Consider the following 26,597-nt stretch of genomic DNA (forward strand, 5'->3'; position numbering starts at 1 on the left):
GTCCGGAGTACTAGGCAGGACCACTGCCCCACTTCATTCATTCATTCACTCATTCATTCATCCATTCACTAATTCATTCATTCATTCACTCATTCATTCATCCACCATACGTTTATTGAGCCAGCTCCTTTGCAAAGCTCCGGGTCACAACTGGGAACAGGTAGGTAGGACTCCCTGTCTCGTGCGCTTCTGTCCTAACAGCAGAGCTGGGCAGCCAGCAAAACGACCAGGTGGCAAAACACAGTGGACAGAGCAGAGCTGGGGAGAGGCAGCACAAGGAGGGGCTGGGAGAGCAGGACTGCAGGTGCGTGTCCATGTGTGTGAGCACATGTGTGTGCACCTGCTTGGGTGGGTGGTCAGAGGAGGCTGCCGTGCAAATGACCTTGGGGAAAAGCTGGGTGGGGCGGCAGGGCCAGGCATGAGCATGTCTGGAGGAACCGAGTGTCAGGGAGAGGGTGGCAGCATGAAGCCACAGGTGGAAGGTGGGTCCGGGGGCTTGCAAAGCAGCAGGAAGCTAGTGAGGGAGCAGAGGGACGCAGGAGGAGGAGGTGGGGCCAGGGGCTGGAGGGTCGAGGGGCAGGTGGAGGAGGGCCTCAAAGCCATTTGGAAGGCTCTGGGTATAGCTGGGGGTGGAGGTGGAAAGCCAGGTGAGGACAGATGAGAAGGCGCAAGACGGGCAACATCATGGCTCAGGGGCTGTGGTTTTGTAGGGGGCTCAGAGCGAGGGTCAGGCCAGGCCCCAGCCTCAGTCCCCTGACCGCCTCCCTCTTGGGCCAGCTCCACTTCCTGGCCCCTCCTGGAGGGTCAAGCGCAGCCTGGCGACTGTGCTGCTGGACGATGCCACTGGGACAGGCCAGGGCACTGGGGTGACCTCTCCTCGGGAATGAGGGAGGGGTGCTGCCCGCCCGCCCGCCTGCCTGTGCGGTAATTACAGCGGTTCCTGCCTGCTTGCTTTGAGGGGAGCCGGCTGGAGCTCACAGCCAGAGGGGCCCGCAGGTCTCACCTGCCAGCCACGCCCGCTGTGGCCTCACCTGCCCGCCCTGCAGGCCCACAGCATTCCCTTCCCAGGGAGGGGCTGACCCCTGGCCGCTGGATGCCGCTGCAGCTGAGTCACAGGTCACCTTGGGCAGGGAGGGGCTGGTCCAGAGGCTGGGCTGTAGGATGGCAGCATCACCCCAACTTTAGACGGATCCTGCCCCCTGGCTGTTTGCACGTGCAGAATAAAACATTCTCTTGTTCCTTTACTCAGACAAAGCCACCGTTAACGTTCGATGTGTTTCCTTCTAGTCTTTCTACTATATATGAGCACATATTTTTTTAAACAATGAAATCAGAAAGTACATACCGATGAATACCTTCAGCGCCATTTCCCCATGATACTTCAAATATTTAACAGCTCTATTGACATATAATTAACATACCATAAATTCTCCCATTGAAAGTATACAGTTAAATAGTTTTTAGTAAATTTCTAGTTGTGCAAGCATCACTATAATCTAATTCTGGAGCACTTTCATCTACCCTCAAAGAAAGCCTGCACCCATGAGACATTGCCTCCCATTCCCCTCCTGCCGCCGCCCCTGGGCAAACCACAAATCGGCTTCCTATCTCTATGGATTGGCCCATTCTGGACACCTCAAGTCAATGGAGTCACACAAAGCTCTCTTGGGTGTTCTGAAGCCCCATATGAAACGGCTGTCGGTGAGCTGTGCTTACACCATGCTTCCTTGTTGGTATCTTGTTTTGGGCATGGTTCTGCTTTGGATGGGTCCTCACCGTAAGGCCTGAAGGAGGGGTTATAAAAGGTGAGAGAGAATTTGTATTCCTCTCCCCGGCCACGGTGCTCCCCAAGAAGAACACAGCCATGAGCTCTTCCCCAAGGACAGGAACTCATCTCCTTTTTCCACATGGGCGTTCCCAGCACTGCCAGCATTGGCTGTAAGGGGCTCCACAAACATCGGGGTGACACACACCTCAGGACTGTGGCCTCTCCAGCTGGCTTGGCCTTCCTGTGTGGTGCCGTGGCCCCGCCGACACCAGGGTTGCATCAGGAACTCCTCTCCCAGATCCCAGCACATGTGACCAGGGTGGCCTTTCTGGTGGGAAACCATGATTCTCCCATGATGGAGAGGATGGTCGGAAAGAGCCACCCGGGTGGGGTCACAAAGATGACCATCCCCTGGGAAGGAGGAGTTACTGCCCAATCCAGAGAAAACCAACGTGAACCTGGATAAGGCTGCAAAGTACCGGGACAGCAGCGTCTGTGTGTCTTGTCAACGGATTCTAAAAGGCAGTTCCCAAAATATTCTCAGCCATGGTCAACCACTAAAGCCACTGTGGATTGGCCCAAAATGCCAGCTACCCAGGACTGTGAGGGAAGGGGGGTGTCTGTGGGAAGTGTGGGGCCTCAGGGAGCCTGTGTCCATTTGCCTCTTGTGCACAAGGGTGGGGAGGTGCCACTTCCGGCTGTGGGGCAGAGATGACAGCCTCTCCACTGGACACTGCTCAGGGTCCCTGGAAAGTTCCTTCCCTTGCAAAGTGCTTAGTGTGTTACCAATAGACCCCAGCAAGACATTGACCCAAATGTTGTCCTCTGTGTGTGTACGTGTGTGTGTGCGCATATGTGTGTGCATGTGTGTGTACATGTCTGTGTGTGCGTGTGTGTGCATGTGTGTGCGTGTGTGCATGTGTGTGTGTGTGCATGTACTGCACACCGAGCACCTGCCTGTGGATGGTGTACACACAAACACACCCACCCTGCACAGACACAGAGGCAAGCCGCCATCCACACATCGCGTCACCTCCTCGGTGGAAGGCACAGTAGTGACCCTGGCATTTCGTTTTTCTAGTTTGGTTTTGTCCAAGCTGGCTTGTGAGGTGCAGGTGTCCTCCTGCATCCAGGGCAGGGCAATGTGGTCTGTGGCTGTGGTGGTGTGTGGGGGACAGATGAAGGTGGAAGCTCGCACTGCACCCCACCACTGAGCACCGGATGAGGGCGAAGGGCTGTCCGCCTCACTGGACTCCCCGTGACTGCATCTACCTGCTTGCTCTGGCCAGACCTCCCCACTAGAGCATGGTCCACCCCAATGCCCGCCTCCACCCCTCTCCTTCAGCACAGGCCAAGCCTCCATTCCCCCTCCCAACGTCCACCCTCCCTGGCCTGTGCCACTGCATGGACTCCTGACTTCCTTCCCATCCTTACGGGGTGGTCGGCCTGTGCTGTCTCAGGTCCTGAGCTGCCCCTCCCTTCCCAAGCCATGCACCAGGGTCCAGCCCAGTGAGGCCATGTGGTGAGGGGATGAGCCATGGCCTCCATCAGGACAAGTGGGGCTGTCTCTACAAGAGGGCTTTCCTCTTCCACCAGTCTTGGGTGCCAGGGAGAGAGGCAAATATGGGTAGTGGTGGGTACATTGGCTAGATCAGAGGGGGCTGGCTTCCCAGAAGTTGGGAGGGTCCCTTTTAAAGTCATAGAAAGTCACACACCTGCTTGAGATAACAGTAGCACTTTTGGTACCTGCTAAAGGCAACACTTACTCCCAATCCCACAACGCTGTCAGAGGACTTTGCATTTCATCGCAACAGGATTGAGATGACTGAAAGTTGCTGAGCAAACCTCAGATGAATGAATAATCACAGAAGGGTTACTTGGTGACTTTCACGCAGTGTTTGTGGGCACAGGGTTCCTGAGGTTTTGCAGAACACCCCAGCAAGGATCTTGTTGTGGTGTCGATGGCTGCAGGCCACAGGCTGGGACCCCCTGTCACACAGGGCAAGAGACCTCCCCTGGCAGCCTGTGCTAGCCCCCCAGGCCAGGCCTGCAGGGAAAGGGGGCTAGGGGCTGGAACTGATCTCACGACAGCCTGTCCTCGGCTCCAGCATGTGGCTCCCTGGCTTCTGGCCACGGCTGGCTGGGTCCCCTGTGGCAGGAGCTGGCCATCCTGGAGTTCAAGGGCCCCTGAAGCACTGCCCACGCCTGATCTTCCTCCCCAGTGTTCTCTCCGCTCCAGGGGAAGTGAGACAGCCCAGCCCAGGCAAACAGGTCCAGCTGCAGCTGGCAGCCAGTCCCAAGAACGCTGCCACTCGGCCCTCCCCGCTGACCTCTGCACACCCTCGCCCGGCGCCCTGCCAGGCCTTATTCATGGGCTGGCAGTGCCAGGACCTCTCCCGGAGGCGGGGCAGAGCAGCAGCTTCTCGGCCCTGTGCCGAGCCCAGGCCTGCACCCTAGGCAGGCACTGCTCCGTGATCCAGGAACCACCTCTCTCTACAGCTGGGAGTGAGCAGTCAGAGAGGGAGACAGCCTTGCCCGGTGCTACCCAGCAAGCTAGTCACCGAGTGGGCAGAGGGAGGAGCGGCCCTCACCGGATGTCAAGCAGCCTGGGTCCCCAGTCCAGCTCTGCCTGTCCCTCGCAATAACGCCTCAGGTATGTTACGGACCACTCAGCTTGTTTCCCTGTAAGGAAACGTCCCTTCTCCCTTGAAATATGTCCCTTTCTATCCTCCCGGGGCCCTCGCAGGCCAACAGCCAGGAAGGTTGGAGCTGAGCTGGGCTGGCGGTAGCAACAGCAGCTTTCTCTCCTGCATTGGCTCCAGCAAGTCTTGCTCAGACGTTGGTGGGGTGGGGTGGGGAGGGTCACCGAGGCAGGGAGGAGCCTGGGGGTTGTCCTGTCGTCCTCCTGGGCCCCTAGAGTAGAAAGGGCACGTGAGGACCATCGAGGGTCCGAGGGGCATGGACAGGTGTGAGGGGACTCACGGGGGTGGGTGAGGTGGGGGAAGGAGCTTCCCAGAGCAGCACGGGGGCCCAAGCCCACCCTCCTCGCCACCCCTGCCCCACGAGGCCGTCTGGGTTGGGGATGCCCCAGGGGGGCCTTTGCGCAAACGTCTCCACTGGCAACAGCCGGTCGCTTGGCAACCCGCACGCCCCAGGCCCCTGCGCCCCGGGGAGCCCCGAGTGGGGCGGGGGTGCCCCGCGGCTCAGCGAAGCCCCTCCTGCAGCGGGCAGGGGAGGGGTGCAGGCAGCAAATGGAAAGCGCTCACCCACCCCAGAGCCAGCCGGGAAGTCCTTGCTGGAGCTGCTCTCCGGCACTGGGGCACCTGGGCAGCCATGTGCTGCCACCCAGGAAGGCAGGAGACCCAGGCTGCTCCCCAGGATCCTGGCAAGCCCCTTCCCTTCTGGGACAATAGAGGCAGCAAGGCCTTCTCCGGGGGCTGGGTGAGGAGAGAGGGCCTGCAGGTGTGAGGCATCTGTTGAGGCACAAACCAGAGGCTGTGCTCAGCTCAGCAAAACACAGTGCCTGTGGGTGGTGGGTGGCAGGGTCATTTCAGGTGGGATCCAGGATGTTCAAAGTGACATCCAACTCTGGGCTGGTCCCTCTGGGGTCGGCTGGGGGCTAAGGGCAGCAGCTGGACATGCCTCTTCCTGGACCCTGGGAGCTGGTCGCCTACAGAGCCCAAGCTAGGAGCTGCTGGCAGTCATTGTGACTAGGGGTCCCCCCATGCAGTGCCTGCATTTTAGGGAGACATTAGCCACCCTTGACGCCAGCCTGATTTGGGGTTTAGTCACCACTCAGGGCCATGCATTCCAACCAAAAAGTTACAGGCGTCCCCATCTTAACTAGCACCAAACCCAGCAGTGGGGCCGATGAACTTGGCCAAGCAGCCTGTGCCAGGATCCTGGTAGAAAGTGGGTTTGGGCAGCTGCAGGTGTGAAACATGGCTTAGCTTCTCTCCTGGGACTGGGGCAGGCTCCAGTTCAGCAGCCCACCTGAGGCACCTGCAAACACAGGTGAGCTTTTACACACGCCCAGCCCCCAGAGAAGGCCGGGGAGGCCTTGCCACCTCTGTTTTCTCAGAAGGGAAGGGGCTTGCCAGCATCCTGGGGAGGCGTCTGGGTCTCCTGCCTTCCTGGGTGGCAGCATGTGGCCGCCCAGGTACCCCAGCGCCGGAGAGCAGCTCCAGCAAGGACTTCCCGGCTGGCTCTGGGGCAGGCGAGCATTTCCCCTTTGCCTTTACACACCTGGGCTTCTGCGGTTTCCCAAGGGCTCTGGTGAGGAAACGGGCTTAGGTGCTGAGAGGGGGGCGCATAGGAGTGGGGGCATTTGGCCAGGGTGGCTGAGTCCCAGCGCCACCGTTCCGCACCCGGAAACCTTGGCTGTGATGCTTCTCTGTGGCTTCTAACCTGGAACCCGGGGGACATCCCCTTGCCCCAGTGCCTTCTCAATGCCAACGGTGACCCAGCCTGAGCTCCCCACCTGCCAAGGTCCGAGTTGAGCTCTCAGAACCCTTGGCCTTTCCGCAGGGCCTCCGAGGGCGTCTGGTGGATCCTGTGCGTGCTCTGCGGCACCCCCTCTAGGCTTTCCCCACTCACTGGAGGCCCCAGCCTGGCTTCAGAGGGACTCAGTGGGGCTTGACCACGTCCCAGCTGCGTGACCTTGAGCAGGTTCCTTGACCTCTCTGGGCCTCGGCTTTCTCACTCTGTAAAATGGGCACAAACAAGGCTTTGTGAGGATGAGTGTGGCTGTCGTGCCTGTGAGTGCTTATGTGATTCTCACTCCTGCCCCAGGTCCCCTCCAGCTCCTCCCTTTTGCGGTCCCGAGGTCTAGCCTAAGTCCCCCTTGCTTCTCTTGCAGGGTGTTTATTTCTCTCGGCTTCTTCCTCTCCCTACGCTCTCACTTTGTTTTATTTCATCTCCGTCCCTCTGCCCTCCCCTTTTCGCTATCGGTTTCAATTCTCCGCTGAAACCTCTGAGGAGGCCCTGCCCGCCCCACTGTCCCGCCGGCCCTCCCCGCAGCACCCACCCTGCCCGGCTTCTCCGGGGCTTGCCCTCCTGTAGCCCAGGAGTTGGGGCTGGGGGCGGCTGTGCTGACATCACTGGCGTTTATGCACTGCTCCTTGCCCAACGCAAATCTCATCCTCGTTCTCTCTGAATCAATTCACTTTTATTGCCTCAGCTGCTCAAAAGCAATTTTTCAAGAACAAAAAGGTCAGCACGTCCAAGACTAATCAATTCTCGGAGAGCTCCTGCCGCTGCCAGGGGAGCCGGGCTCCAGCAGCCCCCCGCCCTTCCCGCCAGCCCCTCCCACCAGCCCCATCACTTTTATTGCTTCATGATGCCTGTCATTAGTGGTGTGTTTGAGACGCCCCACGGTGTTCTTACAACATAAAACCTGGGTGACTTGCAGCGGGGGTGGGGTCGGGCGCATTTATGGGCCCTCGCCGGCTCCGGACAGTAAGAGCTGAGCTGATGGATCGCCTGCCAGGGGAGCCAGCACAGGAGGCCTTCAGCCACTTGCTTACAAGCAGAGCCGGGGCTGCCTGCCTGCTCCCAGGCCCACCCCTCTCTTCCCCTCAACTCCCCATCACTGTGGCCTTGGCATCGGCCAGCCGTTATGCCTTCCAGGAATTTGCCCTCAAGGCCTCACTGGTCCCCACCACAGCCCTACCCCTCCCTGGGCGTCGCCCGCCCCCCCCCACTCTGCCCGCCACGATGCCAGGCTCAGTCCCTCCAGCACTGTGAGGTCTACATTGCCATTCCACAGATGGGGAAACTGAAGCCCAATGTCACGGAGGTAGGAAGGGGCAGACGTAGACTTGGAAGGATTCTGTGGCCTGTTCGAGGTTCCGTGCATGAGCCGTGCTCCGTGGAGAGCCAGGTCTACCGTTCCAGCCTTTGCTCTCCCAGGCCCCTGGCTGTCCATGTCCCACACCACCCTGACACCTGATACTTGACACCCGTGTCACCAACAGCTACAGTGCACCACGGCCTTGGAACACCGCACTCAGTGCTCTGCCTGGATGAGCCCTGTACCCCCATGACGACCCCACTGTGGACATTCTTATGTCCATTTTACAGATGACGAAACTGAGACGGGCGGATGCAGTGTTGTGCACAAGCCACACAGCTGGAAACGTGGGCTGGGGACTGGAACCCAATTACCCGCTTTGGCTCTATAATCCTCTTTTTATTTTTATTTAATTTTTTTATGAGATGGAGTGTAGCTCTGTCGCACAGGCTGGAGTGCAGTGACACGATCTCAGCTCACTGTAACCTCTGCCTCTCGGGTTCAACCCATTCTTGTGTCTCAGCCTCCCAAGAAGCTGGGATTACAGTTGTGTGTCACCACGCCTGGCTAATTTTTTGTATTTTTAGTAGAGATGGGGTTTCCCCATGTTGGTCAGGCTGGTCTCGGACTCCTGACCTCAGGTGATCTGCCCACCTCTACCTCCCAAAGTGCTGGGATTACAGGCATGAGCCACCGTGCCCGGCCCTTTAATCCTCTTTTTAAAACACCTTAGGATATGATATATCCAGAATAGGCAAATCCATAGACACAGAATGCAGATCCGTGTGCCAGTGGCTAGGGGGTGAAGAGGAACTGCTGAATGAGCGGGCGTTTCCTCCTGGGGTGACCAGCATGTTCTGCGACTGCAGATGATGGCTGTGCCACCTTGTGAGGGTACTAAATGCCGCCGAATGGTACACCTTAAACTGGTTGATTTTATGTTATATGAACTTCCCTTCCATACATTATTTGAGGCTGGGCACGGTGGCTCACACCTGTTATCCCAACACTTTTGGAGGCCGAGATGGGTGGATCATCTGAGGTCAGGAGTTTGAGACCAGCCTGACCAAAATGGTGAAACCCCGTCTCTACTAAAAATACAAAAAAATTAGCTGGGTGTGGTGGCGCATGCCTGTAATCCCAGCTACTCAGGAGGCTGAGGCAGGATAATCGCTTGAATCCGGGAGGCAGAGATTGCAGTGGGCCTAGATCGTGCCATTGTACTCCTGCCTAGGTGACAGAGCAAGACTCCGCCTCAAAAATAAAAAATAAAAAATAAATTATTTGGAAAAAAAACCAGCTTAGGTTTTTCTGCCACCTGTTTGGCAAGAGTCTGGGTGTCCCCACAGGCCGTCTTCAGCTGTTCTCCTAATGCGGTCTGTGTGCTAGCAGGAGAGACGTCGAGACATCCTCTGCCCAGCAGGAGCGTCCGTCACCTCTCCCAGGAAACATTCCTGGCTGTCCCCACCAGCTCCAAAGTCTCCACCTCTCAAACACCATGTCTTCTTTGGTGTCTGGGACACAGGCTGTTCTTGGCCAGGCCACAGCCTCATCATGCATGGCTCTGCCCGGTGGCTCACGGGCTCTGTCCACAACACCGGGGGACAGGTGCTCTTATCTCTCCCAGGAGTCAGGATGAGACGTGCATGCATGTATTGCCAGCTTCTCTTGGGATCCTGGGTGCTTCCTCAGCCCTTGGCCGTCCCTTGGCCTGGGCTCCCCACCTCTCTGGCACCCAAGACTGGTGGAAAAGGAAAGCCCTCTCGTTCTGAGTTGAGATCTCAGAACCCTTGGCCTTTCTGCAGGGCCTCCAAAGGCGTCTGGTGGACCCTGCACCTGCTCTGCAGCGCCCCCTCCAGGCCTTCTTGCACGGGACAGTGACAGGGAGTTCTGTCTCAGAGCGAGTCCAGCAGGGCCTCCACAGAGTGCAAGGTTGCCTGCCCTGCCTGTGGAAGAGCAAGCCTTGTCCCCTGTTTCCCAGACCCCCTACTCAGTGGCCTCTGAATGTCCCCAATGTGGGCCCCTCCCTGGCTGCCCCTCTTGCTCTCCAAGTCCGAGCCCACCCAGAGCCCAAGCCCTCGGAGGCCCCTGCCACCTGGAAAGATGACACTGGGGCAGGGTTCTCTTCTGATGTCTGTGTTTTGTCTTGTGGGCCTTGGGGTGCCCCTGCCCCTGATAAGAAGGGGTTTCAGAGCAGAAATAAAGCCTCAGACAGGTGAGCCTCTGTGGCACATGGCCCCTCGAGCCAGCCATGCATCTGGGTTCAGCCCCTGCCAGGACACTTGACCAGGCCCCTTACCTTCTCCGAGCTGGGATCATGCTGGGAAGACTGAATGGGACGCAGCCGGTGAAAACGCCTGGAAGAGAGTAAACGCCATTTTCTCTAAGCATATTTATTTCTTTAACAACAGTGACGACCATTTGTGAGCCATCTCTCTGTCTCAGGCACGGTGCTACATGCCAACGAAACCTGCTCCCATTGAACCCTGGCCAGCCAGTGAAGAAAGGGTTGGGCCTGGGAGGTGCCACTTTACAGACAGGGGCACCAAGGGGCAGGGTGGCAGGAGGCCCACCGGACGTTCCCCATGAAGTAGCAGTACCAGCATCCACACCCAGCAGGCACCACGCTGGCCCGCAGCCTCCCTGCCAGCACGCCTGGCTTCCCGGCCTCGGAACTTGATCTGCTCCCTCTTCCGGACACTGGGGCTCCTGCCAAGTCCTGGGCTGGGCAGCAACTGCTGAACATTCTAAGAAATCCCTCCCAGGGTTTTCTCAGGAGCCCGGGTGGGGCAGGAAGTCCCCAGGGGCTGAGGGGACCGTGGCGGCAGGTGGCACCCAGAGCAGCACTCTCCTGGGGCCCAGGCTGTTGGGCCAGAGGCAGGACTGTGAGGCCTAGTGTAGGGCCTCCTGCCAGTGGCCGGCACCTACTTGTGGGGCTGGGGGTTCCCCCAGCAGGTTGGGCTCCCCACCTGACACACTCACAGACCTTGTGCCTTGGAGAGCCAGTGTTCCCGGGGCCACATAGCTATGCCGCCCAGGGGCTGGGCCTGTCCCAGCTCTGGTCCCCCGGCCCCAGGTCCTGGACGCTGGCTCCGCGCAGCAGCAGGCGGCCTCCGGAGGACACGATGTGACTGGCTGCCGCTACGTCGCACTCAGATGAGTCTGCGCCGGATCGACCTGCTGCCGAGTCCTGCCGGACAGGCACAGGCAGGGAGTGAAAATTATCTACCCCTTTTTATTTCTTAATAACTGAATGAAAATAAACATTGGTGGTTTGACAAATAACTACATATTTTCAAACCCAGCCAGTCCAGGGGATGCAGTTTCCAGGTGCGTTATGCAACAGGACGCCGCCGAGATGCTCTGAGATGTCCCTTGGCTGTCTCACGGGTTGTCTCTGGGTTCCCTCCCACCCCCACTCTCCTTTGCCACCCTCTCCCCAGCCCCCACTACCCTTTCACGCTTCTAAATTCAAGGGCCACACTGTCCCCTGAACAGACCAATCACAATGAGATCCATTATAGTTCCAAAGATACCACGAAAAAAAAAAAAAAACGTGGGGGGTGTCCAGGAATGCAGCCGCACCCCAGAGAGCAGTACAATCAGCTATTGTTGTGCTAGAAGTTTCTCTGTGATAAGAAGGGAATCTAGCAATGCCGCCTTCTGAACTGATTGCAAAACAGAATAGAAAGTTCAAGGCCCCGAGATAGCTAAGCTAGCAGCCCCTCCAGAGCAGCCCCAGGCCACACAGCTGGGCTTTGGGGCTGGCCAGCCCCTGTCCTTGCATGCATCTGCACAGGGCTCCTTGCAAGGGGGCCCGGCTCCATATCCCCCACCTCGCCCCCTCCCCATCTGGGCCTGGGGCGGCTGAGCTGGCTTCCTGCACTGAGGGGACCCTCCGGCCTCCTTCCTGAAGCAGCTGCCCTTCCCCGAGGGACTCCCGGGTGAGGGCCTCCCACATTGTCTGCTTTAGTGATGCTGGTTCTCCCACAGACGCTGCCTGTCCACCCCGCACAGATGGCATGACTGTCCTCCCCTTGCCCGGGCAGGGATACGGCGGCACAGAGATGGGGGCCGATGGCTAGGACCTGAACTCCAAGCTGTGGGCCCCAGGTTTTTCATCTGCTTAGGCCACTCCCCACTGCCCAGACGTCCCCTGGGGTGTCCGGTTTGCTGGAAGGGCCACCACTGGCCTTGAGCTCCCAGTGTCATTTCCGGGCGCTGACGCGTGAGGGTCTCCAACAGGCGGGCCCACGGGAAGTGCTTTCTGTGCTTGGCCCTTCATGCTTTGCCTCTGGTTCCTGAAATGGGCACTGGAGGTGGGCACAGTTACTGTCCACATTTCACAGGTGAGCAAAGTGAGGCTTAGAGAAGCTAAGTGACTTGTCCAAGGTCACACAGCAAAAGAGGGGCCTCGAACAGAACTAAAGGGCCCATGGTGCACAGGCAGAGGTTGCCATAGAGCGACCAGGGCCTTCTCAAATCCGGCTGTGAGCAGAAACTTCTCCCGCCCCCCCGGGCCCACCATGGTGACCTGTGGAGTGCCTCCATGCGCCGAGATCGCTTATCAGCCCATCAGCACTGGTCACGGCCACTTTTATGGTCTGTGTTCTCTCGTGTGTCTGTATTCGTGCGACGTTCCTTCATTCAGGCAATATTTGCTGAGCATCCAGGAGGCCCCCGTTTATTCATTTATCATCCAGCAAACACCGCGAGGCGGCTGCCAGCTGGGGCCGGGCTCGGTGCGGGCTCCCGGGTGGGGGCGGGCATCACGGGGCACTGCGTGGCGGATGTGGGGAGGGTCGTGATGGGGAGGGACGTGCTAGGTGTGCACAGAGATGCTGGGGTGCAGGAGCGGGTGTCTCTCTGAGCACATGGCCCGGAAACTGAGGGCTGTGGGTGCACTAATGTGGGGGAGAGACCAACTTCCTTTCACTGGAGCCCTCAAAGTTTCTGGCAGGGATAACCAGGATCCTAGCGTCTGACACTAAGTTCAGGGAGGTCACAGGACGTGCTGGAACCAGGAGTTCAGGGTTCAAGCCCAGGCCTTTCTCCTCATATTGAACGGGCCTCTCCTGGTACCATGGGGTGCCCTTGATCCAAAGCCCCCAGTGAGGAACATCTCACGGTATGTGGGGATGGGCCTTTGCCATAGCAGCCCATGCAAGGCCTTGGGGCCAGAGCCAGCCCCGCAGGGACCCTCCTTGCACTATTCTTCACATACACCATTGAGGACAAGAGGAAGGGACACCCCTGGCCTGGCCATGTGGTGACAGCTCCCTGTGCATTGACCCCCAGGGGTGCTGCGATCTAGGAGTGGCCATGAGACGAGGGGGAGGGAGACACTTTCCCGATGGTGTGGCGGGCAGGTCTGGCAGGCAGGGTTAGGCGGGGTCGTGGAAGAGGCTGTCCTGGCCCAGAGGCTGCCAGGCCTGGCCTGGGGCTGGCTCCTCTTCCAGGAAAGGTGTGAGGCCTCTTGTGGCTCAGCACTTTGGAAAGTCAGCCAAGTTCTAAGCTTACAGGTGCATGAAGGTTCCATGTCTGTGGTTTCAAGAACATAAAAGTGGGGTGGGAGGCCCTGGGAGGTGGTCCTGTGTGGGGGCAGCCAAGTAGGGGGCGTGGGATGGGGAATGAGGTAGGGGATGGAGTAAGATGTGGGAGAAGTGAAGTGGGGGTGAAATGGGGAAGTGGGAGTGGGAGGGGAGGAAGGGGCAGGTGCTGGGAAGTTGGCCCTTGTGGCCCTAATCTGTCTGTGACAGCTTCCGCTCCTACCCATCCACAGGGACAAGAACAAGTATCCCCTTCCCCAGCCTGCTCCCTCTTAAAAAAAAATCCTCTTCCTATTTAGTATGCAACAGGTGCTCAATGTGTGCTCCTACCGTTCTCCAGGAAAGGAGGGAGCTAAGCAGGACACAGCCCAGAGCTCAGCACTCCCCTAGCCTCCCACCCTCACCTCCCAAGGCAAGGGCCAAACCCAACGGTCTGGCTGGGGACCCCCACCAGCCTCCCCCACCATGGATGGAGGTGGCACGTCTTGAGGCCCAGAGGGGGCAGACATGACGTCCAAGGCTACACAGTGAGTCTAGACCACATGGCCTGCTCCTCACGCCCTGGAGAAAGAAAAGGCAGCCCAAAGCAGGGAGGGTCATGCCCCACCTGGAGTGGGCCTTGATGACCTTGACGTCCCCTTCCCACCTTGAAATATTTAACAATTCTTCCGGAGTTTCCCCAAGGAGGCCTATTCACACAGGCGGGCCATCTGATGATCTGCCCCTGGGGGGTTTCTCCTGCAGCCACCTGGGAGGGGCGTGGCACTGGACAGGGAGGTCCCTTTACCCCACACAAGAAGGAAGAGCCGAGTAACCCACCCTGACGGGCAGTCCCTCCACTGGGAGCTGGGGCCAGGGTCTGGGCGAGGGGCTGGAGTCAGACTGTGGGAGCACGGAGCCCAGGATCTGAGCCTGCCCGCAGGCTGCCTGTCTTCTGGTCTCTCTCCTCCTGCTCCAGCTTGGCCGAGCCAAGCTGCCGAAGGCCAAAGAGCAGCATGAACTCCTAAGAGTGACCCAAATAAACCTTCTTTTCAAGAAAAACAGGCCCTGCAAGCCTGTGGGTCCCCATGACAAGGGATCCATCAGGCAGACAGACTGCACTTCGGTTCGGTTGGTGAGGACTCTGTCCCACTCCGCCAGCAGCTCCCAGCCTGCTGGGCCCTGGCCCTGGTGGTCACCGCTGTGGCTTCCTGCACCCCCGCCCCGTAGAGAGCTGCAGGGAGCCCGGGGTGCTGCTGCTCTTCTGAGGCGGGAGGGTCTCCTGCCTTTGCTCAGGTTTTATAGAGAGAGGGTGGGCTGGACAGGGACAGACAGGGGCTGGCGGCTGAGGGTGAGGGTGGAGGGAGTGGTGCGGTGTCCCGGCTACAGGCGGGCTCTAGGGCTGGGCTGGGTGAGGGCTTGGGCAGGGTGGGTGGAAGGCTCAGAGGGGCCTGGGGCCAGGGCCCGGTGGGTCCTTCGCTGCCCTGGTTGGGGTGGGGTGGGTCACTGCAGGGAATTACAGCAAGTGGGAGGCTCCAGGAGGTGGGGAGTTTCCTCCGACTTTTGGGACTCTGAGGCTCGGCCTCCTCTTGCACGTTCTCCAGCCTCCTCGTCACCGCCACCAGGTTACTACCTTTACCCGACGCACACCTGACGTGGCTGGATGACTGGGCCCGGGGGCTGCTGCCCCTTCTCGCACCCCGCCCCTCCCCTCCCCTCCCCTCTCCTCTCCCCTCCCCTCCCCTCCCCTCCCCTCTCCTCTCCTCCCCTCCCCTCTCCTCTCCTCCCCTCCCCTCCTCTCCCCTCCTCTCCCCTCCTCTCTTCTCCTCTCCTCTCCTTCTGTGCCCGTCTCCAGCCCTCTCCCGTTCTGCGCGCCCCTCCTTCCCCGACTTGGGCAGAACCGCACGCAGCGGCTCGGAGGCCAGGCGTGTGCCGGGCGGGATCGCGCGCCCGCTGGGGTGAAATCAAAAGAAAAGCAACAAAGCCCCTTCCGCGGAAAATGGGGTGGATGTGAGCGGCGCCGGCCTCTTCCTGCTGGAATGGGAATTAGCGGCGAGGATTATTTTGAGGACGCGAGGTCCCTTTGTGCCCAAATGCGCCTCCTCCTGCCCGGCTCGGTGGGGTTCGCGGCGCACGGACCCCGCCCCCAAGGCCTCAGGTGGGCCGGGGGCTCCGGGAGGCCTCCGCCGCCCTCCGTCCCAGGAGAGCAGTTCCCGGTGAGAAGCCCGGGCTCTGCAGACACCCCACAGCAGTTCTGCGTCTCGGAAAACGCGGCGCCTTCATCAGGACCGCACGAAGGAGGGGGTGGGGAGGCGGGTCCAGCCTCGCGAGGAGCCGGCCGGGGTCTGGGGGGCCGTGGCAGAGGGGAGTCCCGCTTTCTGTCTAAGCCTCCCTGTGCCAAGTAGGCCCGAACCCCACCTTTGGAACCTGCTTTCTAGAAAGGACAGCACCCCAGGGGGCCCGTGCCGTGGGCATGGCAGCCTCTCAGGTCGTGGGGAGGGGAGGGGACACTTTGGGGAAGCCACAGGGGGTCTCTAGGTATCTCTGGGATGCTTTCTGGTGGGGTGTTTCCTCTAATCAAAACCATCGTGGGCCAGATTCTGGGGAGCTGGCAGCCCCCCCACACAAACAGACCTTGGTGTCCTGGATCAGCTTCAGGTACCTGATGGGGTGAGAGGATCGGTGCAGAGGCTCAGAGGCCAGGCCAGTTTGGTGACCCATCAGCTGAATTTCAGACTCCGGGTCCCCAGCCCCTTCAGAGACACTGGGACCGCTTTGGGGCTGCCCTGAAGGCTCCAGAGGGTGGAGGGGAAGGGCATGGTGCTTTTGCTAACACTCTCACGTCCCCTGGGAGCAGGTGGGTGGCCACCCTGAGGCCACTGCACGGGGGAAGGGACAGAGAGAGGTGGGGTGGGGGAGGCGGAGGGGAAGCTGCAACCAGCTCCCGTGGGGCAGGGGGTCGGCGGGGGTTTGTCCCTGCTGTGGGCACCTGGAGCGACACCTGTGGGGGCAGCTCCTCATCTGACCTGCACTAACACTAATCTTTAGTCAGCTCCAGGGACTCACCCACCCTGAAAGACCCCATCCTCAACCCTATCAATAGCTCTAGTTGCATTTCCGGCAAAATCTGCAAGAGCTCGGTTCTTTGTCTAACCCTCCAGGGAAACAAACAGTTCACCTCCCCTGGAATGTCCTCATCCCCTTCCCGGGGTCCCAACACCCTCCCCAGCCCCCACCCTACTCCATCTCAGGCTGGCTGCCTCTGACCCTAAAAGTCCAATTCTGTTTGTCTGCCGGGTTGGGGCACTCATCTGTGGCCCAGCCAGGCAGAAAGACAGAGAACCGGGGGAAACTCCCGTCTACATGAATCATGGGGCAGAACCTGGGGATTTATCCAACAACCAAGAGGGCGCCTGGACTTTGAAGAAAGGCAGCACTTGCCCAGAGGAGACTGTTTCAGGAGCTAGACCCCACCCTGCTCTTGGGGTGGGTGGTGGCATTTCCCAGGGGGCACCTGGGCTCTTGCCTAGTGGTCTGGGGTCCCTGGTACTTTATTTCTAAAGTTGTCCACATCAGCAGGAGGTGAGTGGAATAGACAGTGGAGGCCAGGTACCTGGAAACTGCTCCAGGGGCTGTGGTGGGAGGGTGACCCAGGTGCCACCCACCTGAGATGTGGTCATGGTTGGTTTTGTCTGAGCTGGTTGTTTGCTTGCAGAGAGGGAACCCAAAGGTCACACCAGAAAGCAGGCTTCCAGTGCAGTGAAGGCGAGGGCTGGAAAGCCGCACCCACCCCCGCACCCACCCCTGCACTTGTGTAGTCCTCACGTGTCCTCTACATCCTGGGCCAGAGGGAGAGGCCCCTTCAGCAGCGGCTCTCCCAACAAAGAGGAAGGCCCCCACCAAGAGCACGCACTCAGAACCCCAGAGTTCTAGGAGGCAGAATGGATGGCACCAAGAGGTCAGCGGTCTAGAGTGGGTCTCCCAGAGCCCGCCCCGTGGCAGCACCTCATGTGACCACTGGCGCCTTTGCCCAGGTTCTCCACACTGGAAAAGTGGAGAATGGCTAGATGGTGCCCCCTCCAATAATCCACAAACCTGGGTGACACTTATTATCCTTCAGTCTTTATTTTAAATAAGGCCCCTGTCCTTTACCCTCCCAAAGTACTTTTAGACATTTTCCTTCTGCCCAGAATCCTCTGCCCGGTCCCCTGTAGCTAGTGTCCAGACACTGGTCACAGACCTCCACTGAGCCCAGTTAGAGCGCTGACCTCCCATCTCAGGACTTCTTGGCCCTTGCCCATTGCCATACTCTACTGTCAGATTTTAAAACTGCTAGACCATGTGCCAATTCACATTGACTTGTAGCCACTAGGACCCTGTGTCTTTTTCTATTGTGCTTGTTCATGGCCAGGAATCAACGAACTTTGGACAGACAATCAGTAGACTTTGGGTGTGGCCTTGGTGAAGGCTTCCCACTTTGGTGACTTGCATGTGCCCCTCTTTGTTGAGGGGGTTTTGAAGCAGCTTCTGCGTCATTGGGAGCTGGCTGCTGCGCCCAGCCTGAGGCCCTGGACCCCTTTTGCACCATCCTAATTTCAACATCCAGATGTCAATTCAGAAAATTATTATATCATTCTAATGACTCAAAACATAAAATCCCCTCTTTTGTCTCATGTTGAAGAGCTGATGACATCGGACCTATCAGGTCAGACTTATTTTCCTAGTCAGAGACTGAATGGCATATTTTCAAAGCACTTCGTCTAAATTGCATGGCACACACCCCAGGAGCCCAAAGATCTGGTTGTTCTCTTGAGATGCAGAGAGGAGGCCCACAGGTGGCGGAGGGGTGAAGGAGGAGGAGCCACCACTTCCGAAGCATCAGAATGTCAAAATCTAAGTTTTCCACGAGGTCAGCAGCAGGTGTCTCCTGGTCTGGAGAGGGCATGGAAGTGGCCACAGGTCTGGACTTCTCTGGGTGGATGTGAGGGAGGGTGATTGAACTGGAGGAGGGGGCTGGCTTGAGACCTTCCTGTTCTATGTTGGGGGGGATACTGAGGGTCCGTCTCACTGGGACGAAGAGGGGGCACAGATGCAGGTATGCCCAGGTACCTGAGTCCCAGCCAAAGCGGCAAAGCCAGACCTCCCGGGATTCCTTGAGTTTGGACAAAGGGTGTCCCGACGACGATAAAGAGCCAGGAGCAGAGAGCCCTGCATCTTGCCTGGGGCCCCTTGTATCTCTGGCTCATGGCCTGTCCTGGGCACGGGGAGGAAGGGAGACACCCGTAATAATAACAGAGACCGCACTGGACTATGGGGGATCACAATGGGTTTCAGTTTGATTGAGAGAAAATAAGGTAAGGGACACGTGCTCGCCTGAGTCTCTGGAGTAAGAGTCACGCCTTGGAGAAGGAGGGCAGCCAAAGGCCACGCAGAAATTGGGGGTTCAAGGTTTGCCCAGCCGGCCCCAAAGGTGTGGGGGTCCACATGGCCTCACCCAGGGGCCAGTGGGGTGGCTTTGCTCATTTGAGGGTGTGCAGGGTACATATGTGTCTGCCCCGGGAATCCAAGTAGCCCCAGTGCGCTCCTGCCTTGCTTCCCTAGAGCGAGCCCACGGTACCATAGTCCTCGTGGGATGAATGCATGAATGATGTGGAAGGAGCCAGAACAGGGCTGCAGACAGGATGCTCTCTCATAGAAGGACCCCAGAGAACTTCCCCTCTGGAGCCTGTGCGGCTGGTTGAGTGTAAACGCTGAGTCATGCTCGCTGCCCAGCTGTGTGGCAAGGGCACTCCCTAGGCACTGAGCAGCCACCGCCAGCCCTGAGGGCTGCGGGACAACAGAGAGCCGGGCCTGCCCGAGGCACGGCCCCTGAAAAGTGTGGCCCGCCAGGTGGCACCTATGTTCTCTTGCCCGGCGTGGGTGACTACACAGTTGTCATTTACGGGGGAAGTAGGGCACAGCAGAGGTGAACATGAGGATGATGCTGCGTCTGGGCTGTATCCAGGGAACCAGCTGCCGGACAAATTGGAAGGGACCTTCTTGGCAGGACAGGTCCAGTTGGTGGCCTGAGGTGGGGTTGTGGTGGGCCTTGTCCCCCTGCAGGGCTGACCCGTGCAGGTGGGATCATCCTTCCTGAGGAGCTGCCCTGCCCAGTCCCGTTGCCTTGGAGGCGGTGACATCAGGGGCCCCTGAGCCACCAGGTTCCTCCATCTTCATGTGGCCACCACGGCTGTTGCAGAGTCCACGGTAAGAGCCAGGACGTGGCTTCCAGGCAGGATGGGGAAGCACCTCCCACTCCCACATGGACAAAGATTTCTTTAAACGGAGCCACCAGCCATGCCTGGTAGTGGGTGCCCTCCCTAGGCAGGCAGTGCTGGCTCTGCTCTTTCCTGGGGGAAGCCCACTGCTCCTCCTGGGGCCTAGTCCGTGGGACCTGCCCAGCCAGCCTTGGGAGGGGCACCCCTGGGCATGTGGAGAGGAGGTGATGAGGCGCTCAGATGTCGAGGCCAAGGCCAGGTAGGTGGCAGGTGAGACAGGCCCTTCAGACATGAGACCCGAGTGATGTAGATAAGAGGTATGTTCCCCTCCAGCCCCCGCCCCCAGGCAAAAGGGGAAAAGACACACAGAGAACAACAGAAAACAGTTGGAAACCCCAAAGGGCGCTTGATGAAGAGCTGGAGCTCCCCGCCCCCCGTGCTCCGGGAGGACCAGGAGACCTGCTCCATGGGCCAAACCGCCTTTGCCCATCCCTCCCCTGACCCCTGCTGCACGGTTCCAAGGGCTTGGTAGGGCAGCCTGAATTTTCCCTAACTCCCACTCCTAGGAAGGTCAAATTCACCTTGTTTGCCTCCTTAAAAATTCACAAATGCAGGACTGAGGCTTTTCCTGAAACCAGAGCCCCGGCAGCCAAGGCTCAATAAAATACTGTTTGTGTTTCCAGGCACTGGGGTGGGAGCGAGGCTCCCAGTTGCTCAGAGTTAACCGGCCCTTTCCCGAGTGAGACCCCGCGAGCACTCGTCAATTCTCCCATCACCCTCCATCGCCGCCTGCTGGGGGGGCCTGAGGTCCGGAGCTGCTCTTCCTCCTGGCAGCCCAGCCTGCAGGCCTAGTGCTGTCCAACCACAGCCCAGAGGGCAAGGCCTCCCAAAGTGGGCGCTTGCTGAGCCCCTGGCCAGCCTCCCAGGACCCTCAGTCCCCACAGCCCCCATCCAGCTCTCTTTTACACCTTCCCCTCCCCCATCTCAGAACATGGGAGAAGCCGGGCACACTGGCGTCTGCAGGCTGCCCTTGGGCTGCCACGGGGCCCTGTTTGCCCAGCACAGAGCCTGCCGTGCTTTGACCCAGCAAGTCCCACCGCACCTTCCAGAGGCACTGTACAGCGTGCATCTGTTGTCAGTACAGTTTTATTTGCTGTGGAATCCATGAGAGCCGGAAGCATCGTTGGGGCCGTGGCTAGCAGAGCTCATGGTGACCAGTCCTGGGCCTGACCAATGGGTGATTACATTTAAAAACCAAAACAAAACAAAACAAAATACCAAGAACAGATCACTTGCCATGGACATCAGTAATCTATTGGTAATGGTGGAAATTTCATGAAAATTTCCCCTAAACCATAACAAAAACTGTCCTCCTTACCCCAAAAGTGCTGGAGGAAAGATGGTTGCATGACTTGACCTCTCTTTGAACTTGAAATGCTACCTTCCTACCCGGAAATGCGACACACTATACTTAAAAGGCCAGATGGCTGCAGGCTGTTTGCACCCCTGGCTCTGCCCAGGGACACCCCTCTCCTGGTTCTAATGCTCAGACCCAGGAGGCAGAGTCCGCAGCCCGAGGGAGCTTCAAGGCCGAGGGGTAGGACCTGCAGGGCCCACACCACCCTTCTGATGGAGAGCTTTGCACATGCATTCACACACACATGCCTGGCGGGATCGCAGAGGATGGGTCTCGTGGCAGGAGTGGGCAGAATGGGGTGCATTTTACAGAAGAGTCACAGAGAGGCTCGCCCTCGGCGGAGGACACACAGCTGGGTGGGCGTGTGGGAGTGCAGGTGTGCTGACTCCGAACCAAGGGAGAGCTCTCCGTCCTGAGCTCGCTGCCCCTCACGATGCACACGGCTGATGGCTGAGGTCAGCGGTCTCTTCCCTGAGTGGCAGGTGTGGTCCCTGGGACTTCATAAACCATCCTCATGACAGTTTTACACTTAGAGTCCCCAATGCACTCCCAGGAGGTGGCCTGGGCAGGCAGGCATCATTATTCTCATGTTACAGGTGAGGAAACTGAGGCTGAAGGAGGCAGAAGGCCACATACCCGGGGAGAATCGCAGGCAGCAGGGGCCAGGCCCCTTCCACAGCACTGCCTCTCACCCTTCTCCCGACCAACCCCCAAGGGCATGCCTCTGGCTTCATGAACCTTCGGGGGAAATTAGCTTTCTAGTTTGGGGGCGGTTCCCTCTGACTGGAGACAGGACAGAATGCTTTCACACCCAGGAACGGCCGTGCAGCCTGGCTTAGAAACAAGGGACGAAGTGGATCCTGAGGCTCATTCCCTGGGGACTCCAAGAATGGGGCAGGCCCAGCTGCGCAGCCAGTCCTGGCTCCACTGACTTAGGCTGCACCCCTGCACATATGTGTGTGTGTGTGTGCATGCGTGCGTGTGTGCATGTGCGTGTGTGTGTGTGTGTGTGTGTGTGTGTGTGCGCATTTTCCCAGGGGACCTCTCCTCCTTCCTCTGAGGCAAAGTGGCCTGCAGGGGCCCCTGCAGAGCATACAGGGAGGTGCTTCCTTCCCTCTGCCCAGCGAGCAAAGGGTGGAGCCTTGGCACCCCCAGCAACCCCCTCCAAGGGTGGAGCCTTGGCACCCCCAGCCCCCACCCCGCAAGGGAAAGGGGAAGCTGCACGAGGAGCAAGATTTCATTCCCCAGAGGGCACAGCTTGGGCAGATTCCCATCATCTAGGGGCTGTGCCCCACATCTATTTCTGCCAAACAAGAAGCAGACGAGGGGGCTCAGGGGGGCGGGCCTCACAGGAACGGAAGCACCACCCCACCTCTATTCCCTGTGGCCTCCAAAAGAGCTGGGCAACCTCTGCCAGCCACTACCCCTTAGCCCAAGGGGAGTCCTCATTCCAGAGCCAGCATCTTCATCTTGTCCTGATGCCCTGCCCACCCCCGCCGAGCTTCACACTGGGCTGCTATGGAAAACTGAAAGGTCAGAGGGTGGAGGTCCTCTCCCTCCTGGACATGGAAACCTCCCCCTGCCTGGCACTTCGGCTGGTCAGGAACAGTGGCTGCTCATGGAGCTGCCCTCCCACCTTCAGACCCTCCTCCTCCCCCGCAGGGGTGGGCTGGGGCCCTCCCTCCCTCTGTACTTGATCCATGACTTGTGAGTTCTGAGTCCTCAGGGCCGAGACTTGAGTCAGAACCTTCTGGAGCAGTACGCATTTCCCCTCTGCACCTGGTGAGGACACCAGGCTCCTCGCTTCCTCCCCAGATCTCTGAGTGCTCACCCGACCCCCCAACCCTGGCGGGACCTTCCAGGGCTGGCAAGCATCGAGCCTGACCACGTTGCCTCTTGGGTGCCAGCACGCCCACATCAAAGGTGTCCCCTCTTCCCAGAGGCCCTGAGCAACATCGGGCGACGCTGTCAGCAGACATTAGCAGCAGAGCTGCACCACGCATCAACTTTTAAGTATGCGCACACACGTACGCCAGCCAATAACATTAAGTGTCATTTTAAAAAATGGGTTAAATAAGCAGCATTGCTGAGGATGGCCGTGCAGGGCTGATTATCCCCTATTTGCACGTTCTGGCGGTGGGAAGGCTAGAAGTCTAATGACTGAATTATCGCCCTAATGCCTCTCGCTGGCTGGGAATAATCCCGGGGCAACAGCTGCCGCGGGGTTTTTGGCTGGTTTCCTCTAATTGCATCCAGATTAAGGGAGTTGTGGAGGGGCGGGGCTTCTCCATCCCCCGCGGAGCAGCGTCTCCTCCGCCAAGCCCTGAACACCCAGCTCATGGCTTCCGAGGTCCTGGCTGGTCCGAGAGGTGCAGACCTCACTGGGGTCCGGGCCAGCCCATGGGGAGCGTGAGGTGCGAGCAGTGCACGGTGGGGGTGGCACTTGGTGCAGAGATGCAGCTGATTGGTCCGGGTCAGGTCTTGGGGAGCAGCAGGGGTGAGAAGCTGTAGGGCCAGGAGACTCAGAAGGAATGCCTTCTACTAGGACCTTCCCAAGTGAGGGGAGCCCTGGACCTGTCTATCCTCTTCCTCCCTCCCAAACACAGCGGTTCAAAGGCACGAGGTATCTAGTGAAATGCTAGGACCAGGGACGCTATTCCCCTGGAGCAGGCGGGTGGGGAAGGAGTGCTCCAAAGCAGGCATTATTAGGACACAGACTCTCCAGAGTCCCAGTTGTTTAGCCCTCCAAATTCTCAGCCTACTGCCACCCGACTGTGCAGAGCGGACAATAAAGTGGCAGGCCTGTCCCCCACCCCTTAATGCTGAGCCCAGCCACGTGACTTGCTGTGGCCAAGGGGAGAGCTGCAGGTGTGGTGTCCACCAAGGCTTGGAAAGGCACTTGCTGTCTCTCCCTCCGTGCCTTTGGCTGTGCCATGGCTGGCCTGCAGGAGGGATGCAAGAGACCACAGAGCAGGGCCAGGTCCGACCTCTGCACCATGAGCATCCCCTGGGACTTAACAACCCACTGGCCCTAAACAAACAAGCCCAGCCTAGACCAGAAGAATCACCCTGCCCAGACTGCTGACTCCTGCCCTAGATCAGTGCTGACTGTTGCAGGCCACCGAGTGTTGGCGGATTTGTTACACAGTATTGCTGTGGCAATGGATATAACTGGTTTCTAGCGGAGGGTCAGGGCAGAAGCTCCAGCCACCTCCCTAGCCCAGAAAGGCAACCCTCTCTTCCCAGAAGCAACATGGATGAGAAGCCCACCCCATTCCCACCACAGGATCCCCCACTGCTAGACAGCAATGGTCGGTACCCCAGGATCTGGGCACTGATGGGGCTCCAGGACGGTCTCCTCAAAAGGCTCTTAGGCAGACAGACCTGGGAACTTGGAAGTACCTGCTGGACGACCTGGGTTCATGGAGAAAAGAGAAGCCGAGAAGGTGGAGGAGGCCGGTAAGTGGTGACCTCCGCTTTCCTGCTGAGGAACACTGCTTTGAAGTGGCATGGCCCAGCAGTGCCCACCCTCCAGGGAGAAAAGCTTTGAGTGGGAAGAAGCCTTCTATCCTGGTCCCCATGATGGTTCTCAGCACATCAAGGGTTTTTCTCCCCAGAAGGACGCGATGGAGGATTTCAGGAGGGATTTGGTCTCCTCGCTCAAGGAGTGGCTTTCTGTGCAAATGGCTCGACACTTCTAAGCTGGCTGGGAGTTCTCACAGCATAGATCGCACACCCTTTTCTGTCCATCTCTAAATCCCAGAAGGAGCAACTGATACACAATCTTTTGGAAGAGGGAGAGTCTGTTGGGAAGACCTCATTCCCACATAGAAGGCAGAGAGCCCTGAGTGCTGGCTCCTTCACTGTGGTCGCTCTCACGTCCGACCACCTGAGAAGCTGACTTACATATCTGAGTTCACAGGTCCTGAAGGGAAGTGGAAGAGTCTAACTATTTCCAGGTGTCCTTGTCTTGGTTGGTCAGCTAATACACTACCACGTCCCTGGGACAAAGCAGATCATTGTCAGAGGATCTTGCAAACACAAACACGCACGCACGTGTGCATGCATGCATGCACGCAGGGACACACGCACACATCGACCCATTCAAGCCCCAGCTGGTTGCTGTATTTGGTGGAGTTGACCTTAAACAACGCCAAGGAACCTCACGTAGAAGACCCCCAGCAAAGAAAAAGGCATCAGATGCTTCTCCAACAGCCTGAGGCTCAGGCTCCTGGGCAGACAGTTCCCTTCGTGTACCAGGAGGACGAAATGTTTAAACGGATAAACATTACAAGCGCCAGCTCCTCAAGCCTGACTGCTCTTCCGCCTCTCTATCCCCACATCGGTTGGGCTTTTTATCTTTTGCTTTTCTTTTATGGCAGATGCCTTTCCATCGGCATCCCAGCTGTGGCTGGGGACGTTTTGGGAAGTGTGTTTGGCTCACTCCGAGAGAACGAGGTCTCAAGAGGAAGTGTGTCTGGCTTGCAAAGATGTCCCTGGGCCTGGACAGGACCCCGCTGTGTTCTGCAGCCCTCGACGCAGTGGGTGAGTGAGGCCTTCCTCTCCTGTCTCTGCTTTCCTCATTGCCTGGCGACGCTGTCTGGCTGCCCTCGAGGGTGGAGCAAATCCTGGGACATGTTGAAATCCTCCAGGGCAGCCAGCAGGAGAGCCCAGCCAGCCTGCGTCTCAGGTGCGGTGGCTGCGCGTTCCACTGCAGCGTTTCAGGAGCTGACTTTCCTCTGGGTGGCTGTAGATCTGACTTCTGTCACTTCCAGACTCTAATTTTGTCATTAATATGAAAAGGTTCCTCTCATGTTGCCCAAAAGCATTTTCCTTAGGTTTCTACCGTCCCCTGTCCCCTTCACGCCCAGCCCCACCCCCTCCCGTGCCCAGGGCCTCTGAGGAGGTCCCCTCAACCCCTGTCCGGTGTCGGGGGCCCGACCTATCTGCGGAAGCCGAAGCCGTCCTGCGGCGTCTTTGGGCCCTTCTTGCCTTCCCTCAGGGACTTGGGGGAAGGCATCTCCACCGTGCCCCCGTAGGGACAGCTCTCCGAGCCGGGATGGTGGCCGGTGCACTCCACCGCGGGCATGGAGCCGCTGTCCCACATGCCTGACCCGCACAGCTTACACAGATCGTGCAGGCTGCAGGGGATCCGGGGCAGGAGGCGGAACTGGTACAGCAAACTCCTCGCCTGCAGACAGAGGACGGGGGGTGAGGAGGGGCCGGGGGACAGCCTGGCAGCCTAGGGTCCCCATGGGAGTGGCCAAAGACAGCAACAGCAGCAACAACGGCCTGCACCTCGGGGGCTCACCGAGTCCTGGACTGAGGGCTCTGCCTGCATCTCCCACCATCACCGGCACCACGGGGCCCTGGGTCTTAGGTGGCTGCAGTGATGGGACCCACAAGGCACTCGGGCTGTGCTCACAGGTGGCTCGAGGTGAACAAGGCCCTTGAATGGGCTTCATTCAGGAGGGTGAACAGGACCAACACCAGCACAGGGCCGGGTGGCGTCCAGCCAAGCCCACCTGTCCCTTTGGCAGCACCCCTCTCTTCTTCCCCCGCACCTTGCTCCACCCCCCACCCCCAGCAGCCTCTCAGCTCCTGCAGGATCTGTGTCCTGTGCCAGAGGACACCACCGACCTCGGGACCCCCGCTCAGTGCCCTGAGGACCACCAGAGAGCTAACGGGCAGCATCTCCAGGAGGCGTCTGGGAAGTGGGGGAGGGGGCCAAAGCCCAAGGTCCCCAGTATTCTGGCCACCCTGTCCCCAGGTCCAGCCTCCTTCTCAGTGTTCCCAGTTCTGGGTTGTAAGCGAGGTACCCCAGGGTAGGGAACCT

The 26,597-nt window shown here is 58.8% G+C and overlaps 1 protein-coding gene and 2 long non-coding RNA genes across 29 annotated transcripts in view, besides 1 other annotated feature; 1 reads left to right on the forward strand and 2 right to left on the reverse strand.

The window, feature by feature from the left end:
* Positions 1 to 96: 96 nt before the first annotated feature.
* LINC01979 (long intergenic non-protein coding RNA 1979) lies at positions 97 to 11,570 on the reverse strand. Its single transcript, NR_110850.1, has 6 exons — positions 10,546 to 11,570; positions 9,859 to 9,916; positions 6,795 to 6,947; positions 6,249 to 6,471; positions 1,032 to 4,681; positions 97 to 258 (listed from the first exon to the last, which is right to left on the reverse strand). It is a non-coding gene; the product is annotated as a long intergenic non-protein coding RNA 1979 (long non-coding RNA).
* On the forward strand, positions 4,202 to 8,855 carry LINC01978 (long intergenic non-protein coding RNA 1978). Its single transcript, NR_110851.1, has 2 exons — positions 4,202 to 4,421; positions 7,536 to 8,855. It is a non-coding gene; the product is annotated as a long intergenic non-protein coding RNA 1978 (long non-coding RNA).
* Positions 16,357 to 16,576: an enhancer, noted in NCBI's record as "active region_12925". NCBI's record gives its function as "activates an Ori minimal core promoter by ATAC-STARR-seq in GM12878 lymphoblastoid cells {active_cell/tissue: GM12878}" and the evidence as "EXISTENCE:reporter gene assay evidence [ECO:0000049][PMID:35858748]".
* Positions 17,188 to 26,597, reverse strand: part of TBC1D16 (TBC1 domain family member 16) — a 103,530-nt gene continuing 94,120 nt past the window's right edge. For 20 of the 27 annotated variants that reach the window (XM_047435346.1, XM_024450577.2, XM_024450579.2 and 17 more), the window contains one exon: positions 17,188 to 25,952. In XM_047435346.1, coding sequence (XP_047291302.1) covers positions 25,704 to 25,952 — 249 coding nt within the window. In that variant the 3' untranslated portion in view covers positions 17,188 to 25,703. The remainder of the gene's footprint in view (positions 25,953 to 26,597) is intronic. The other 7 variants (XM_047435344.1, XM_047435342.1, XM_047435347.1 and 4 more) reach the window with 1 other exon arrangement.

Source organism: Homo sapiens, chromosome 17 (assembly GCF_000001405.40).
Source record: "Homo sapiens chromosome 17, GRCh38.p14 Primary Assembly".
Lineage (NCBI taxonomy): Eukaryota > Metazoa > Chordata > Mammalia > Primates > Hominidae > Homo > Homo sapiens.